Source organism: Homo sapiens, chromosome 5, assembly GCF_000001405.40.
Source record: "Homo sapiens chromosome 5, GRCh38.p14 Primary Assembly".
In the NCBI taxonomy this organism is placed as follows: Eukaryota; Metazoa; Chordata; class Mammalia; order Primates; family Hominidae; genus Homo; species Homo sapiens.
The window spans coordinates 21,660,307-21,678,453 of record NC_000005.10 but is presented as its reverse complement, the minus strand read 5'-3'; the positions used below and the strand labels follow the sequence as shown (position 1 = coordinate 21,678,453).

General features: G+C 37.1%; 1 long non-coding RNA gene across 1 annotated transcript in view; it reads right to left on the bottom strand.

Moving 5' to 3' along the window:
- Positions 1-1,978: 1,978 nt before the first annotated feature.
- LOC105374685 (uncharacterized) overlaps positions 1,979-18,147 on the bottom strand; it is a 63,568-nt gene continuing 47,399 nt past the window's right edge. The window contains exon 3 of the long non-coding RNA XR_925848.3: positions 1,979-2,345. This is a non-coding gene — a long non-coding RNA (uncharacterized LOC105374685). The remainder of the gene's footprint in view (positions 2,346-18,147) is intronic.

Sequence of the window (18,147 nt, the reverse complement as noted above, 5' to 3'; positions counted from 1 at the left end):
GAAGGCTAAGTAAGACAAAGATGTAAACTGTCACCTGAGTACTGAAGGTATGCATCAATGTGCCCAGAGACCCACTCAGCAAAGACTGAGAGACTTCTTGGTTTCTGGAATTTAAGGAAAGTCTATCCACTTAGTCTAACCACTAAGCTAGACAAGCAATGACTTCAATAATCAAGTAGGACAAAGAATCCACACTTTACAGAATTATTTTATAGAAGTCACTAAACAACACCAATAAATAGCAACAAAAACAAGCCCTGGGGTGGGAGAGCCTCTGTTTTCCAGAGTTGCCACAATATGTCTGTTAAAATGTCAAATTTTCTAACAAAATTTAAGAGACACTCAAAGAAAAATGAAGATGTGACTCATAGCTACAGATGTAGGGGGCAGTTAATAGAAACTATTCTCAAGAAGTTTAGATATTAAAATGACTACACAAAAACTTTAAAATCAGCTATTTGAGTATATTCAAGAAACTGAAGGAAACTTTGTTCAAATAACTAAAGGAAAGCATAAGAACAATGCCTCACCAAACAGAGAATATCAATAAAAATGTATACATAAAAAAATCAAGTCAAAATTCTGTACTTGAAACTTACAAAAACTTCCATGAAAAGTTCAGTAGAAGAACTCAACTGCATATTTGAGACAGAAGAAAGAAATCATAAAATTGAAGCTTAGTCCATTAAGATTATGTAGTCTGAGGAAGACAGAGAATAAAGAAACGATAAAGAAAAATGAACAAAGTCTTAGGGACCTGTGTAATTCAACAAGCATACCATCATATGCATGATGGGGTGCCAGAGGAGAGTAGAAACACACAAATTTTTGATTTAAAAAAATTAATCTATACATCCAAGAACCTCAACAAACTCCAAATAGGATGAACTCAAACAGACCCACACGTGACACATCAAAATGACACTATTAAAAGGCAAAGAAAAAATCTTGAGGGTAGCAAGAGAGAAGTAGCTCATCACATACACAAAAACCCTCAATAGGATTAATAGGTAATTTCTTAGAAGACACTCTGGAGGCCTAAGTCAGTGAAAGGACATATTCAAGAGCTAGAAGAAAAAAAGTCAACCAAAGACTCTATAACCAGCAAAATTACCCTTCAGAAATGAAGAAGCATTTTAATACAGTCTTATATAAGCAATTAAGAAGTAACTTGTTACTAAGCAGACCTGCTCTATAAGAAATATGAAAGGAAGTCCTTCAGGCTGAATAGAAAGGACATTAGAGAGTAACCCAAATGTACAGAAAGATAGAAAGAGCACTGGTGAAAGTAGCTACATAGGTAAATATAAAATATATAAATATATTTTTTATTTCTATCTTTTTTCTCTTTTCTGATATAAAAAGGCAACTCTTTAAATAAATAATTATAAATCCGTGTTGATGAGAATACAATCTATAAGGAAGTAATTTGTATAATAATAGCACAAAATGAAAGGAGAAAATGGAGTAAATGTTTTGTATAATATTGAAAATAAATTAGTACTACTCTGTATTATACTGATATAAAGTAAAGGAATAATGATAATTCCCACGACAATCACTGGGGGAACAATATCAATAGGTATTTATAGATAGATAGATATGGGTAGGTAGATATAAAATTAATGATTAGGAAATGTAAGTAATTACATTGAGATATAACTTCACACACAATAAGATGGGTATTAAAACAAAGACATGCAATAACCAATATTGAAGGGCATGTGGATAAATTGAAACTTCATACATTGCTGATGGGAATGTAAAATGGTGCAGCTTCTTTGGAAAACAGTTTGATAGTCCATCAAAATATTAAGCCTAGAGTTATCATATGACACAGCAATTCCACTGTTAGGAGTGGAACCCAAGGGAAATGAAAATGAAGGACTGCATGAAAACATACACATGCATGTACATAGTAGCATTACTCACAATAACTGAAAAATAGAAACAACTGAGGCTGTATTCAATTTATTTTCTGAGTCCACGAACAAGTTCAGTGCTTTGAGGAGAGAGTAATTGTAGGAATGGTAGGGTTTGAATATGTTTCCACTTCAAAATTCATTGAAACTTGAATTCCCAATGTAATAATATTAAGAGGTAGGCCCTTTAGGAGGCAAATAGGCCATGAGGGTGAAGCCCTCATGAATAAGATTAATGTCACATGTAAAGACTGGAGGGAACTAGCTAAGCCCTTTTGCCCTTCCATCTCTGTCGTGTGATAACATAGTGTTTGTCCCCTCTGGAGGACCCAGCAACAACGTACCAACTTGGAAACAGAGATCAGGTCCTCATCAGACACAAAACTTGCTAGTGCCTTAATCTTCCATTTGCAGTCTCCAGAACTGTAAGATAGAAATGTGTCCTTTGAGAATTACCCAGCTTCAGGTATTTTGTTATAGCAGCTGGAATGGATTAAGACAATAACACCCAGCTACTCGGGAGGCTGAGGCAGGAGAATCACTTGAACCAGGGAGGCAGAGGTTGCATTGAGCTGAGATTGCACCACTGCACTCCAACCTGGGCAACAGAAAGAGACTCTGCCTCAAAAAAAAAAAAAAAAAAAAAGAACAAAGTTGCAAATGCTATTTTCATAATTAGTCTTATGAACACACAGTATAGTCTGTGCTCATTAGGATTTTTTATTTTAAAATATGTAATTGACAAAGATTGTATATGTTTAAGGTGTGCAACATGATAATTCGATATACATATACTTTGTGTAATGTTTATCACAAACACATTGATCACCAATCATGCTGTATATTACAACCTCAGAATTTGTTTTGCTTCCATAGTGTTTTTCATAATGGCTGGACTAGTTTACACTGTCATCAACGGTGTACAAGGATTACGTTTTCTCCGTACCCTCACCAACACTTGTAATCACATGTCTTTTTTATAATAGCCCTCCTACCAGGTGTGAGATGATACCTCATTGTGATTTGATTTGCATTTCTCTGAATATTAGTGATGTTGAGCATCTTTACACTTACATATTGACCATTCGCATGTCTTCTCTGGAAAAATGTCTATTCCTGTTATTTGCCCATTTTTTAATTGGGAAAATTATTTGTGATTTTTTCTTTCTTTTACTTTTTATTTTGTTATGTTTTTACTATCGAATTGTGTATATATTATAGATTATATATTTTGAATATTACCTCTTTAACAGAGAGATGGTTTGCAAATATTTTCTCTCATTTTATAGATTGACAGGCTGTGCTCTTTGATTCCCAGGTGAACAACTATTATCTAGAATGGTAGATTTGAACATTGCTTCTACTTATTTTGGGGAAAGAGAGCTTCCTGCTCTCCCTTGGCCTCTGGTGCACCAGCTGCTATATGCCATGAATCAGGACTGGAGCAACAAGCAGAATAAAATTTGTCTTTGAGTGTATCTGAAACATCCTCTGCAGATGTCCAGAAATCTCTTAGGGATGATTTGCAGAGAACCAAAATACATTTGTCAAGAAGTAGGGCTGACACATCAGCAGAATGTAAAAGTTATAAAATGCAGCCATGTATACCTAAGGATTTGAAGTATGTTTAAAATACATAGGAAAAAAAATCAGGCCAGGGGAGCTGGCTCACACCTGTAATCCCAACACTTTGGGAGGCTGAGGCAAGTGAATCCCTTGAGCCCAGGAGTTCGAGACCGGCCTGGGTAACATGGTAAAACCCCATCTTTACAGAAAATACCCACCCTCACACACACACACACAAAAATTAGCTGGCATGGTGGTGTGTGTCTGTATTCCTAGTCCCAGCTGAGGTAGGAGGATCACTTGAGCTGGGGAGGTCAAGGCTGCAGTGAGCCATGATCGTGCCATTGCACTCCAGACTGGGTGACAGAGTGAGACCCTATCTCAAAAAGAAAAGAAAAGAGAGAGAGAGAAAAAAAAGTTCACTATGATATGATGTCTCCAATGCTGACCTCAACTTGTCAAACAACATAATAATCCAAAGAGTAAACAAATGTGTTGTTCTATTTTGTAGTTACTCAATATATTCAGTCTGTTAAGAGAACACATGTGAGAGAAGTCCTCCTATTATTGTAAGTATTAAAATAGGCCCCTAACATGGAAGCTTTGTCTATATTCTGACTTTAAGTTAGGATCTATCATAAAGACATTGTAAATGTATCACAGATGCACATACTAAATGACTGAATAAGATGAATGCTTCATACATATTTATGGACAAACCCCAAAAACCTTTTGAAATTTTTCCATATCTGGAGTTAAAACAAAAACCTCAAAAAACTGTTATTCCTAAAAGCAAATTCAATGGTTACTAAAATATATCATAGTTGACTAAAATTACTGCTTGAAAGTCACCTTATGGTTTTATCTCAAGATAGACACAAAGAGCTAAGTACTTATTTCTTTTTCTTATAAAATCATGAAACTCTATCATCACTTTATTTATAATGATTTTCTGAGAGTAAAAGGCAGAAAGGAAATTGCACTATATTACCCTAATATCAGTGTTCAGGGACACTGAGAAATTTTAATAGTTATAAACAAAATTTTAGAATTAAAGAGATCAGAGGGAGCAAAGTGTTTTATACTCAACCTTATACCTCTCATTTCAAGTACCTCAGAAAATAAAACTATCTTGGAAGCGGCTATAAAATGTGAATTTTAGAAGGCATTGACACAAAATTTTATTTTTAATTTACTTAATTCAAGCAAAAATTCTCTTGCAAAAATTCAAGCAAAAAGTCTCTTCATCTATATCACCTCTTCAGTAGGTGATTAAGAAATCTAACATATATTTCACTCCTTTATAATGTTCTCATTTGCTTTATGGTTGATTATTCAAATATTTTGTCTTCTATTTATATTAAACATATTTTGATATAGTGAACATATATTTTGCTATTAAAATAGTCAATATGGTTTTAATATGAAATGTGGTAAATAAAAACAAAGGCTTTCAGCTAAATTATACATCAACCTTCAGCAATTGTTCTTAAGTAATCTATTTAGTAATGATACATAATTTAAGCTCAACTTCATTTAATCTATTTTTTCCCCAAAAACCTTCAGGAGGTCTTCAATGCTTACTATGTTAGGGACAAAGTCCTTAGGTAGGCATTTTATTTCTTCTACATTTTTCTTTCTTACTCTTTTTCTTCCTCTGTCATTCTCTCTGTACTAAGCTTTCTTGCTTGCATTTAGCTATTTTTCAAGTTTTCTCTTCCACATTAATCTCTTGTTTTGAGAAGACACATTTCAAACTTATCATAAATGTCATCTGTTTTATATATTCTATATATGAATTCCTGATTATATGACTAATATGTGCTCATTGTAAGCAATGTTAAATATTGTCATAAATGTCATCTGTTTTACATATTCTATATATAAATTCCTGATTATATGACTAATATGTGCTCATTGTAAGCAAAGTTAAATGTTCATACAAAATGAACAGGACAATCTATCATAACGTCATAATGTCAGAGAGATATAATAATTTTCTGACAGCTGAAAGGGCAAAAGAATAACATGCTATTTTGGTTTGTAATTGCTGCTATAACAAATTATTATAATATTTCTTGCTTAAAACAACAAATAAGGATTATCATACAGTTCTGGGGGTCAGAAATACAAAAATCCAAGAGGTCTTATGGGCTAAAATCAAGATGCTGGCAGGGTTGTCTTCCTTCTGGAAGCTCTAAGGAAGTAATACTTTTCCTTGCTTTTCACACATCTAGAGGCTGCCTGTGTTCCTTGGCCTGTGTCCTCTTTACATCTTCAAAGGCAGCAATCTCACTGCTTTACCTAAAGCTATGATCATAGCATCTCCTCTCTGACTCTGATTTTCCTGCTCCTCTCTTCCATCTTTTAAGGGCCTTTCTTACCTTGGGACCAGTGAGGTAATCCAGGATGACCTCCCAGTCTGGAATGTCCTTCTGCAAAATTCCTTTTGAATGTAAGGTAATATATACACAGTTTCCAGAGAGTAGGATGTGTGTATCATTAAAGACCACTATTCTGCTTACATTATGCACTAAAATGTAGCCCATGGAATTAATATAATTAGCAAAGAGCTGACAATGGAGCCTCTAATCAAATTAATTTTTGTTTTGATTGTGTTTTTAAGTCAATATTTGTTGATTTCTGTCATCTGCAGCAAAGAATCTCAACTGATTGGAGTGCTTCTTAGCCTGATATAGAATCCCATTCTTTATCCCTAATTTTTTTGTACAATTGTGTACACACCAATGTTGTATCAGTGGTGCTTAGAGAATAAAAATAAGGAGAGCTTGTAAACAATCATATGGGGAGTGGTATATAGCCAACAAGGGTGGTGATGAACAGATGTGATTAAGATTTAGGGAATAGGCCCGGTGCAGTGGCTCACACCTGTAATCCCAGCACTTTGGGAGACCGAGGAGGGTGGATCACCTCAGATCAGGAGTTTGAGACAAGCCTGGCCAATATGGTGAAACTCTGTCTCTACTAGAAATACAAAAATTAACCAGGTATGGTGACGGGCACCTGTAGTCCCAGCTATCTGGGAGGCTGAGGCATGAGAATCACTTGAACCCGGGAGGCAGAGGTGGCAGTGAGCTGAGATCGCCCCACTGCACTCCAGCCTGGGTGACAAGAGCGAAACTGCATCGCAAAACCAAACCAAAACAAAACAAAAAACAAGAAAGGGAAGAAGGAGGAATGGAGGGAGGGAGGAAGGGAGGGAGAGAGGAAGGAAGAAAAAGAGAGAAAGAGGAAGGGAGGAAGAAGAAAGATTAGGATCAAACCTTAGATCAAGAATTCTTAAAACTATTTGGTAAAAAATAGAACTCCCTGCATAAATACTTGTGGCTTGGATTGTAGTTGTTTCTCCTGCCTTCCTCTCTTTCACTCTCTCTCTCAATGTCATCTATCTATCTTTTTATCTAGTATCTGTCTCTCGTGTATATATTTATACACACAGAGACACATCTTCTTATTCAGAAATAAGACCATTCAGAAACATTCAAAGAGAAGTTTATCTGCTGCAAGTTTTCTCAAAAATACACACAAGCACAAGTGCATAAAATTTCTTCTGCCTAAAAAGCAGTAATATTAATTTGCTGCTTGAGAAAGAAAAACGTGAAAATGAGAATAAGAACATCTTTTTAAAGAAAGGATTCAATTTTAATTAAAGAATAGCTATAAAGCTATTCACTTATATGTAAAACTGTTATTTATTCATACACTGTGCTGTCAAGGAAAACAGAATTTATGGCTAGTAAAATAAATAAACAATTCTACTTGGCTCTCAAGATGAAGTAAAGGTTTTACTTGTAATATTAGTATACATTTGACCTTGTAATATTCAAATTATTTTGACCAGGTAATATTACATGGTCGCATTTTATTATAATTTGACCATCTTTTTTTTTCTAGAATAACAGGTGAAAGCATTCTTTCTTGTGTTTTCTTACCATACAATGGAAAGAAATAAACACTACTGCTATAGAACTATTTTTAATATAGATAATGTTGCCTATTAAAATTATAAATATATATGTATAGATATCAATATTTGTGAAATATGACTTGTATAATTTAAAAAAATAGTAGAAGAAAACAGTGCTGGCCAGGTGCGGTGGCTCATGCCTATAATCCCAGCATTTTGGGAGGCTGAGGCAGGCATATCACTTGAGGTCAGGAGTTCGAGAACAGCCTGATAAACATGGTGAAACTCCATCTCCACAAAAAATACAGAGGCAGAGGTTGCAGTGAGCTGAGATTGTGCCACTGCACTCCAGCCTGGGTGACTGAGCAAGTCTTTGTCCCAAAAAAGCAAAATAAAACAGGGCTGATGTAAGAGTTAATGATAATTCTTAACTACCTCCCACACAAATGAGCTTCTAAGGACTTTACTATTGAATTTGTCATGTCTTTTTGCCTTGTGTTGAAAGTTACATATATAGCATCACCATATACAGCGTATTGTTACTGTATTCCTACACTTTCCTATTTATATGTTTAAGTTGTTTATGTGTTTTGAAAATTTAGCATAACACAAATTCGAGTTATTATTTGTGCATGTGAATTTGTGTCTAAATATGTATTTGGTAGTGTTTTCTAGCAGTGATGTGGTTTCATGCACTGTATTGCAGGAATCTTTTTCAGGAGCAAGAGTGAAGGAAGCAAGACAGGCACAGTGAATAGGTACACGCTGAGAGAGAATATAGTCTCAGAGAACTCAGCCTTGGCTTCATTCACAGGAGAATCTGGAACATAAATCTCACCAAAAAGTTGCCTTCACTTTGAGGCATTGTGGCCAGACTTTTGTATTTCCATATAATTAAATATTGAAAGCAGTATGCCTGTGGCATGGGAAGGAGCTCTCCTGGGTAAGGAAGCTCTTTTCAACCAAGGATTGTGGTCCTAATGAAGGGGATGGTTGTGAGCCTATTAGCAGCCAGCACTAACAGCAGCTGCAGAGTGAGTAAGTTACCAGAAGGCATTGGCTTCAGCTCACCCATCACCCCACTGAAAATCACTTTGTTCTCAATTTATGTTCACTGGATCCAGACACAGCTACTCCAGGATTCTAAATCACCACAATTCCTAGGAAGAGTTAAAAGTGGAAGGTTAATGCGATGAACCACAGCCCCTAATGCTGCAGTCAGTCCTGAGGACTGACCTGATACTCATCTCCCTTCTCTACCACAGTTAAATGACACTGATCTTTGCTAGCACTTCTGTTGGTCTAGGTGGCTTGTGGGTGAAGATTCATAGATACTATGGCCTATCTACCATCTACTATCATAGATTCCTGGATACTGTGACCTTATTAAGTTGTGGTTGTTCCACTTTCATATTGAGAATAAGAACTGAGCATGGGATTATCAAGAAACCCTGCAGTAGACCACCTGATTGCCAAACACTGTCCATCTTATGTAGCAGCCATCACCTGCCAGGTAAGAGGCAGAGACTGCTGTGAGCCGAGATTGTGCCACTGCACTCCAGCCTAAGTGACCACATTCCTGTCCATCTTATGTAGCAGCCATCTTACCTGCCAGGACCAATTACCCTGGCTGTTTTACTAATTCCTTTTTATGCCTGCTAGGTCATTGGCATGAAGAGTTCAAGGAGAACACTTGGCAACTGTAGCTTTAAGTATAATGAGATTCTTATTGTGTTCCCTGCTGGAAAGTGAAGCATAAATTCTGCATGTAGAAATGATGGAGAGCAGTGCCTGGCTACCTCCACTCCTGGATCCTGAATCCACACATTCTACCTGCTGGAGACAGCACCTCATAACCATCGTTTTAGGACTGTATAGAAGCATGAAGCATAGCTTCCCATTAAATGTGGATATGAGTAATGTGCATATGATGGAATCCATGTATCTGCATCCTTAAAGTCTTTGACAGTGGCACTAAGTTCTGCTATTCCTCTGGGATGAAATATTGTTTCTAATTTGTTCTCTTGGCCAGGGGCTATAATGGCCCGGTGTGAAAATTTCAGGGACTTCCATTTGGCCTTTGCTATGACAATCACTCTTACTCGAAAGATCAAGGAATCAATGTGAAGAATAGATTAACTGCTAAACATACCCGTTTTGATTTTATTTTCAGTCAGAAAAATAACCACTGTGTTAGTTCCTGGCCTCAGTGAACTGTGCTGAGATGGACCTGAATCAAGACTCCGTGAATTAGCTGAGTCCATATGTCACCCCACTAAGCGAAAGGTCACGGTGGTGATTGGGGTTTCAGGATAAATTCAGAACACATGAGTAGTAGTCCCTATTATAAATTTTGCATGTTGCTTTTTTTATAGAGTATTGTTATTTGAGCAAATGATTGTGATGCTTTTGGAGAGACTGGGAAAATATCTAGTGCATATATTCGCCAGGCTATTACAATGGCCTTCTCTGAGAAACAGCTGCTCCTTCAGTAGTAGAAAGGATGATGCTCAAATGGTTTTATTGTTTTTGTTGTGGTGTTTAAAAGGAGCAACATATACACAACACACACACACTCACACAAGTGCACAAAACTTATTACCTCAAATCTTTATTAAAATGTTGCAATATGAGAAAAGCTCTAATTAGAACTCTAATCTGAAAAGTGGAAGGGAATTTAAAGATTTTTATACTGATTGGGATAATCACTGAAATTCAGGGTATTCCAGGAATAGCTCACAAATCTCATTATGCCAACACTAACTTTACAGTAATTGTCCAGAAGTCAAACCTATTTTTCAAATGTAAAATCTTTATTTGTTTTAAATCACAACATACTTATTTATACTTTAAACTGGCCAATGATTATTTACTTCTCACTTCTTACACACCAAAATTTTTTAGGCACAAGGAAGAAAGGGAAAAACAAACAAACATTTCTTTTTTTTTTTTTTTTTTTGAGATGGAGTCTCACTCTGTCACCCAGGCTGGAGTGCAGTGGCGTAAATCATAGCTCATTGCAACCTTAAACTCCTGATTTCAGGTGATCCTCCTCCCTCAGCTTCGTGAGTTGCTGGGTCTACAGGCACCTGCCACCACATTTGACTAATTGTTTTTCTTCTTTGAGAGACAGAGTCTCACTTCATTGCCTAGGGTGGTCTTGTACTCCTAGGCTCAAGTAATCCTCCCAAAGTACTAGCATTACAGGTATTAACCACTGCACCCAGCACCAAATTCTTGACCTAGAACAGTTTAATCAATATATTATATTCTTTGTGGATCCAGATGTATTATATTGAACTTATAAAAGTATCATTGCCAATTAATTTCAACAAATACTAACATAGTAGTTATATAATGTAAATTCAAAGACTATACAAGGCCAGGAAAAGAATCAGTGAACTTAAAAATAGGTCAATATAGACTTTGCATATCAAAATACAAAAAAAAACTAAAAAATACAGAACACAAAATCCAAGAATGGGACAATTTCAAAAGGTCAGCATATATGTAATAGAATGCCAGAAGGAGAAAAAAAAGCAAATGGACAAAGAGAAATATTTGAAATTATAGTGGCTTAAAATTTCCAAAATTAATGACACTCACCAAGCCACAGGTCCAGGAAACTCACAACACCAAGATAAAAACAAACAAAAAAATTTTGAAAATAAAATAAAATAAAAATACCTAGACATATCATAATCAAACTACAGAAAACCAATGACAAAAAGAAAATCTTTTTAAAAATGGAGATTCAGGACAGCTTACCTACACAGGAAAAAGGACAGGAGTTAATGTGGACTTCTCATCGGAATCACATTAGCAAGAAAAGAATACAGTAAAATATTTTAAGATGTGAGAAAAAAACCAAAACACTAATCAAGAATTCTATTTCTGGGCCAGGCGCGGTGGCTTACGCCTGTAATCTCAGCATTTTGGGAGGCCGAGGCGGGCGGCTCATGAGGTCAGGAGATCGAGACCATCCTGGCTAACACGGTGAAACCCCGTCTCTACTAAAAATACAAAAAAATTAGCCGGGCGTGGTGGCGGGAGCCTGTAGTCCCAGCTACTAGGAGGCTGAAGCAGGAGAATAGAGTGAACCCGGGAGGCGGAGCTTGCAGTGAGCCAAGATCACGCCACTGCACTCCAGCCTGGGCGACAGAGCAAGACTCCGTCTCAAAAAAAAAAAAAAAAAAAGAAGAGTTATATCTCTGGAGAAATGTCTCTTCAAAGGAGATGAATAAATAAAGATTATCTTATATAATATAAACTGAAGTTATGCATCAGTAGCAAATCAGCCCTGCAAGATGTGCTAAAAGAAGTTTTTCAGGGAAAAGCAAAATTATATAGGTCAAAAAATTAAAAAGTCATAAGGAAAGGAAGACCACTGATTATGAAATAAATGAAAGAAAAATAAAGTGTTAATTTTTTAAATTGATCAAAAATTTAACCGATTTTAAAAATTTCATTTAATTTTAAGTTCTAAGATACATGTGCAGGACGTGCACGTTTGTTACATAGGTAAATGTGTGCCATGGTGTTTTGCTGCACCTATCAGTCCATCACCTAGGTATTAAGCCCCACATGCATTAGGTATTTATCCTGATGCTCTCCCTCCTCCTCCTATCCCCTGACATGCCCCAGTGTGTGAAAAATATAACTGATTTTTGAAATAATAATTATAACAAGGTATTGGGAAGTTACATATCGTATGGATAAGTTTTATGAGTCACAGTAATATCACAAGGCATAAGAGGGGGAATTGTGTACCTTACCTTGACATGAATGAACTGGCATAGTGTTATTTAAAAGTAGACTTATTTAAAATGTATAGTGTGAACTAAAGCAACAACTGAAAAAACTTAAATGAAGAATTAATATACTAAGAGAGGAGATAAAATGGAATTATAAAATACTCAAAATCAGAAGAGGCAGGGGAAAAAAGGCAGAAAAAAATAAAAACAAATACAAAAGATAGAAAACGGTTTCAAACATATAGATATTAAAATAACTCCATCAATAAGCACATTATATTTTAATAGTCGAGTTTCTTTCACTTTTAGAGAAGAAATGTGAGGAGCTTCATGTACTTACTTCCCGGAATAGCAACACAATTGGTGAAAATTATTATAAACAAGAAAACAATCATTTGTCTGGAAATTGTCACAAGGACATCCAGCAAATGAAAAAACATTTATTCAACAAAACTTACTAAAACTCAGTAAGAAAATATCAAGTCTGTGGAATGTGAGCCATAACACTTCCCTTCTCCACCCATCTCATTCTGATGAAGGCTTTACTCCACATGGGAGTGGCTGAAACAGGATCCCTCTTCCTTGAGCTGTTAATCAAGGAATATATTGTCTCGCCAGGAAGGAAAACCTGCCAGCATATCTCATCTATCCCAACTCCATGTTAGTGTAGTAGAGAGGTTGGGGTGTCCTTGTCCTCACAGGGCAGAGTGTCTAGCCCACGTGCAGAAGACTGAGAATATTCTGGGCCCCAGTAGTGCTCATCTCAATTCATTCACGGAGTAGAAGTTACATGTGGGGAAGAAAACCTGAGAAGACCAGAGGCCACTATTGCCTCCTGAATATTCCCAGGGTTTATTTCCAAGGTGGGTGCAGCCGATCAGAATGGAGAGCTTCAAAGCTCTTCACAAAGGAATTGACTCTATTTAAACCTAGAAGTCCAAACCATGAGAATAAGATCACAAAGGAGGCAGATGGTAGTAAATCTGTATTAAGATAAGGACATAACTGTAGGTGGTAACCTGAATGCATGGGAACAAATGAAGATGACCTGTAATGATAAAGAATAATGCTAATTGTCTTTGTCCATTTGTTTTGCTACGAAGGAATACCTGAGGCTGGGTGATTTATAAAGAAAAGATGTTTATTTGGCTCACAGGTCTGCAGGTTTTATGAGAAGCATAGAGCTGCTATCTGCATTGGGTAAAGACATCAGGCTGCTTTCACTCATGGGGGAAGGCAAACAGGAGGCAGTGTATGCAGAGATCACACCGTGAGTGAATATAAGGCTGGAGGGAGGTGCCAGCCTCTTTTTAACAACCGGCTTTCATGGGAACCAATAGAGCAGGAACTCATTCATTACTGTAAGGACTGCACCAAGCCATTCAAGAGGGATCTACCCCTTCACAGGCTTTCCATTAGGCCCCACCTCCAACATGGATTATCAGATTTCAACATATGGTTTGTGGGACAAACAACCAAACTATAGCTATAATATAACACATTGATATAGTTTGGCTCCGTGTCCCCACTCAATTCTTATCTTGAATGGCACTCCCATAATTCCTTTGCATTGTGGGAGGGACCTGGTGGGAGATAATGGAATCATGGGGGCAGTTTCTCCCATACTGTTCTCATGGTAGTGACTAAGTCTTATGAGAGCTGATTATTTGATAAGGGGAAACTCATTTCACTTGATTCTTACTCTCTATCTTTCCCGCTGACTTGCCTCTCACATTCTGCCATGATTGTGAAGCCTCCCCAGCCACATGGAACTGGGCGTCAAATTAAACCTCTTTTGTAAATTACCCAGTCTCAGGTATGTCTTTATCAGCAGTGTGAAAACAGACTAATACAGTAAATTGGTACCAGTAGAGTGGGGCATTGCTGAAAAGATATCCAAAAATGTGGAAGCAACTTTGGAACTGGGTAATAGGCAGAGGTTGGAACAATTTGGAGGGCTGAGAAGAAGACAGGAAAATTTGGGAAAGTTTGGAACTCCCTAGAGACTTACTGAATGGCTTTGACCAAAATGCTGATGATGATATGGACAATGAAATCCAGGCTGAGATGGCCTCAGATAGAGTTGAGAAACTTGTTGGGAACTGGAGCAAGGGTGAATCTTGTTATGTTTTAGCCAAGAGACTGGAGGCATTTTGCCCCTGCCCTAGAGGTGTGTGGAATTATGAACTTGAGAGAGATGATTTAGGGTATCTGGTAGAAGAAATTTCTAAGCAGCAAAGCATTCAAGAGGTGACTTCAGTGCTGTGTTAGTTTTAAAAGGGAAACACAGCATAAATATTAGGAAAATTTGTAGCCTGATGATGCAATAGAAAAGAAAATTTCATTTTCTGAGGAGAAATACAAGCTGGGTGCAGAAATTTGCAAAAGTAACGAGGAGACAAATGTTAATCCCCAAGACAATGGGGAAAATGTCTCCAGGGCAGGTCAGAGGTCTTTACCGCAGCTCCTTCCATCACAGGCCCAGAAGCCTAGGAGGAAAAAGTGGTTTTGTGGGCCCAGGGGTCCTGTACTGTGTGCAGCCTAGGGACTTGGTGCCCTGTGTCCCAGCCTCTCCAGCCATGGCTGAAAGGGGCCAACATAGAGCTGGGGAGGTGGCTTCAGAGGGTGCAAGCCTCAAGCCTTGGCAGCTTCCATGTGGTGTTGAGCCTGCCAGTGCACAGAAGTCAAGAATTAGAGTTTGGTAATCTCCTCCTAATTTCAGAGGATGTATGGAAACACCTGGATGTCCAGGCAGAAGTTTGCTGCAGGGGCGGGGCTCTCATGCAGAACCTCTGCTAGGGCAGTGCAGAAGGGAATTGTGGGCTTGGAGCCCTGACATGGAGTCCCTGCTGGGGCAATGCCTAGTGGAGCTGTGAGAAGAGGGCCACTGTCCTCCAGACCCCAGAATGGTAGATCCACTGACAGTTTCCACTGTGCTCCTGGAAAAGCCGCAGACACTCAGTGCCAACCTATGAAAGCAGCCAGGAGGGGGGCTATACCCTGCAAAGCCACAGGGTGGAGCTGTCAAGGCTGTGGGAGCCGACCTCTTGCATCAGCATGACCTGGATGTGAGACATGGAGTCCAAGGAGATGATTTTGGAGCTTTAAGATCTGACTGCCACTATGGATTTCAGAGTCACATAGGGCCAGTAGCTCCTTTGTTTTTGCCAATTTTCCCCACCTGCAATGGCTGTATCTACCCAATGCCTATACCCGCATTGTATCTAGGAAGTAACAAACTTGCTTTTGATTTTACAGGCTCATAGGTGGAAGGGACTTGCCTTGTCTCAGATTAGACTTTGGAGTGTGGACTTTTGAATTAATGCTGAAATGAGTGAAGACTTTAGGGGATCTTTGGGAAGGCATGATTGGTTTTGAAATGTGAGGACATGAGATTTGGGAGTGGCCAGGGGTGGAATGATATGGTTTGGCTCTGTCCCCATTCAAATCTCATCTTGAATTGTACTCCCATAATTCCCATGCTTTGTGAGAGGGACCCAGTGGGAGATAATTGAATCACAGGGGTGGTTTCTCCCATACTCTTTTCGTGGTAGTGAATAAGTCTCATGAGATCTGATGGTTTGATAAAGGGAAACTTGTTTCACTTGATTCTCATTCTCTGTCTTGCTTGCTGCAAGGTAAAACATGCCTTCGCCTTCCAACATGATTGTGAGGCCTCCCCAGCCACATGGAACTGTAAATTGAATTAAACCTCTTTATTTTGTAAATTACCCAGTCTCAGGTATATCTTTATCAGCAGCGTGAAAATGGATGAATACACGTATTCTATAAATATATACTTGCCTTTCTATCTCTTCTCGGCTTCATTAATTTATCAACATTTATATAACGTAATACTTTTAACAATTTATTGCTGGATCTTATATAGAAAAGCAGAAAGACCTAAGATAAATAACCTGAGCTCCTACCTTAGGAAACTGTAGACAAAAGATCAGTTTAAGGCCACAACAAAGAAAGAAATTAAAAAACATTAGAGCAGAAGTCGACGAAATTGAAAACAGACTAAAAATAAAGAAAAATCGAAGAAATCAAAACTAGCTTATTTTAAAAAATCAGTAAAATTGACAAACTCTTGTTGGGTTAAATGGAAAAAAGTGAGATGACACAAATTAACAATATCAGAAATGAAAGAGGGTTCTTCCCTATTGATCCCATGATCATGGAAAGAATTATTGTTATTGTTTTATTTCAACTTCTATTTTCAATACAGGATGTACAGGTGCAGATTTGTTATATGGGAATATTGCATGATTGTGAGGTTTGGAGTAAAGATCCTGTCACCCAGGTAGTGAGCATAGTACCCGACAGGTAGTTTTTTAACCCGTGTCCCCACCTCCCTCCATGTTTTAGTAGTCCACAGTGTCTATTGTTCCTATATTTATGTCTATGTGTGCTCAGCAGTTAGCTGCCATGTATAAGTGAGAACATACAGTATTTGGTTTTCTGTTCTCGTGTTAATTTGCTTAGGATTACAGCCTTCAGCTACATCCATGAGGCTACAAAGGACATGACTTAATTCTTTTTTATGGCTGCATAGTATTCCATGGTGTATATGTACTACATTTTCTTTATCCAACCTACTCTTGATGGGCACATGGATTGATTCCATGTCTTAGCTCTTGGGAATAACAGCACTGAACATATGAGTACATACATCTTTTGGCAGAATGACTTATCTTCTTTTGGGTAGATATCCAGTAATTGGATTGCTGGGTTAAATGGTAGCTCTGTTTTAAGTTCTTTGAGACATTTCCAAACTGCTTTCCACAGTGGCTGAACTAATTTACATTCCCACAGTGTATACGTGTTTCCTTTTTTCCATAACCTCACCAGTAATTATTGTTTTTTGACTTGTTAATTATAGACATTCTGACTGGTATGAAATTGTATCTCATTGTGGTTTTTCTGTGCATTTCTCTGATAAGTAGTGATGCTAAGCATTCTTTCATATGTATGTTGGCCACTTGTACGTCATCATTTCAGAATTGTCTGTTTATGTCCCTTGCCAATTTTTTAAAAGAGGTTATTTGATTTTTTTCCTTGTTGATTTAAGTTCTCTATAGATTCTGGATATTAGGCTTTTGTCAGATGCAAAATTTGTGAATATCTTATTTCATTCTGTAGGTTGTCTGTTTGCTCTGTTGACAATTTCTTCTGCCGTGCAAAAGCTCTTTAGCTTAATTAAGTCCCACTTGTCTATTTTTGTTTTTGTTGCATTTGGTTTTGGGGACTCAGCCAAAACTTTGCCAAGGCTGATGTTGAGAAGAATATTTCCTAGGTAATCTTAATGGTATAATATGAATGTCTCAATGCCCACAAATTAAATAATTTGTCAAATTATTTTGAAGATACATAGTTCTAAAATGTACACATAAAGGAATAAGTAAATATCATGCTTATGGCATAAATAAGGTTTTGATTTAATGGGTGTGTGTTTATCTCCAAACTCATTATGATGTACACTGTGAATATGTACAGTGTTTTGCATGTTAATCACACGTCAATAAAGTGGTTCAGAAAACAATTAAAATGTACTAACACTCAGTAGAAAAATAGGAAAAAGCCATGCATGCTCTGTTAGTTTAAAAATTAAAAAATTCAAATCTCCAATAAACATGCATCCATCTCACTACAAATTTCTAAGTGCAAAATAGGGTATCTGTTTTTAATTGTTCTTATTAAAAGAATAGCAAGCCTGATGGTATCTGGTTCTAGAAACTATTTTGGAAAATGTATATTCTTTAAACTGTATGAAATATAAATAATACATATATTCTAGACGGTATATTTTCCACATGTATCAACATGCTTAAAATTTCACATGCCATTTGACAGCAAAATTCAAATTATAAGAATTTATATTAAGAAAGTTATCTTAAATGTGAGAAAGAATACACACTAAAAATGGAGAAAACCTTAAATATGTATTTATTGGATGTATTAATGATGGAGTGTT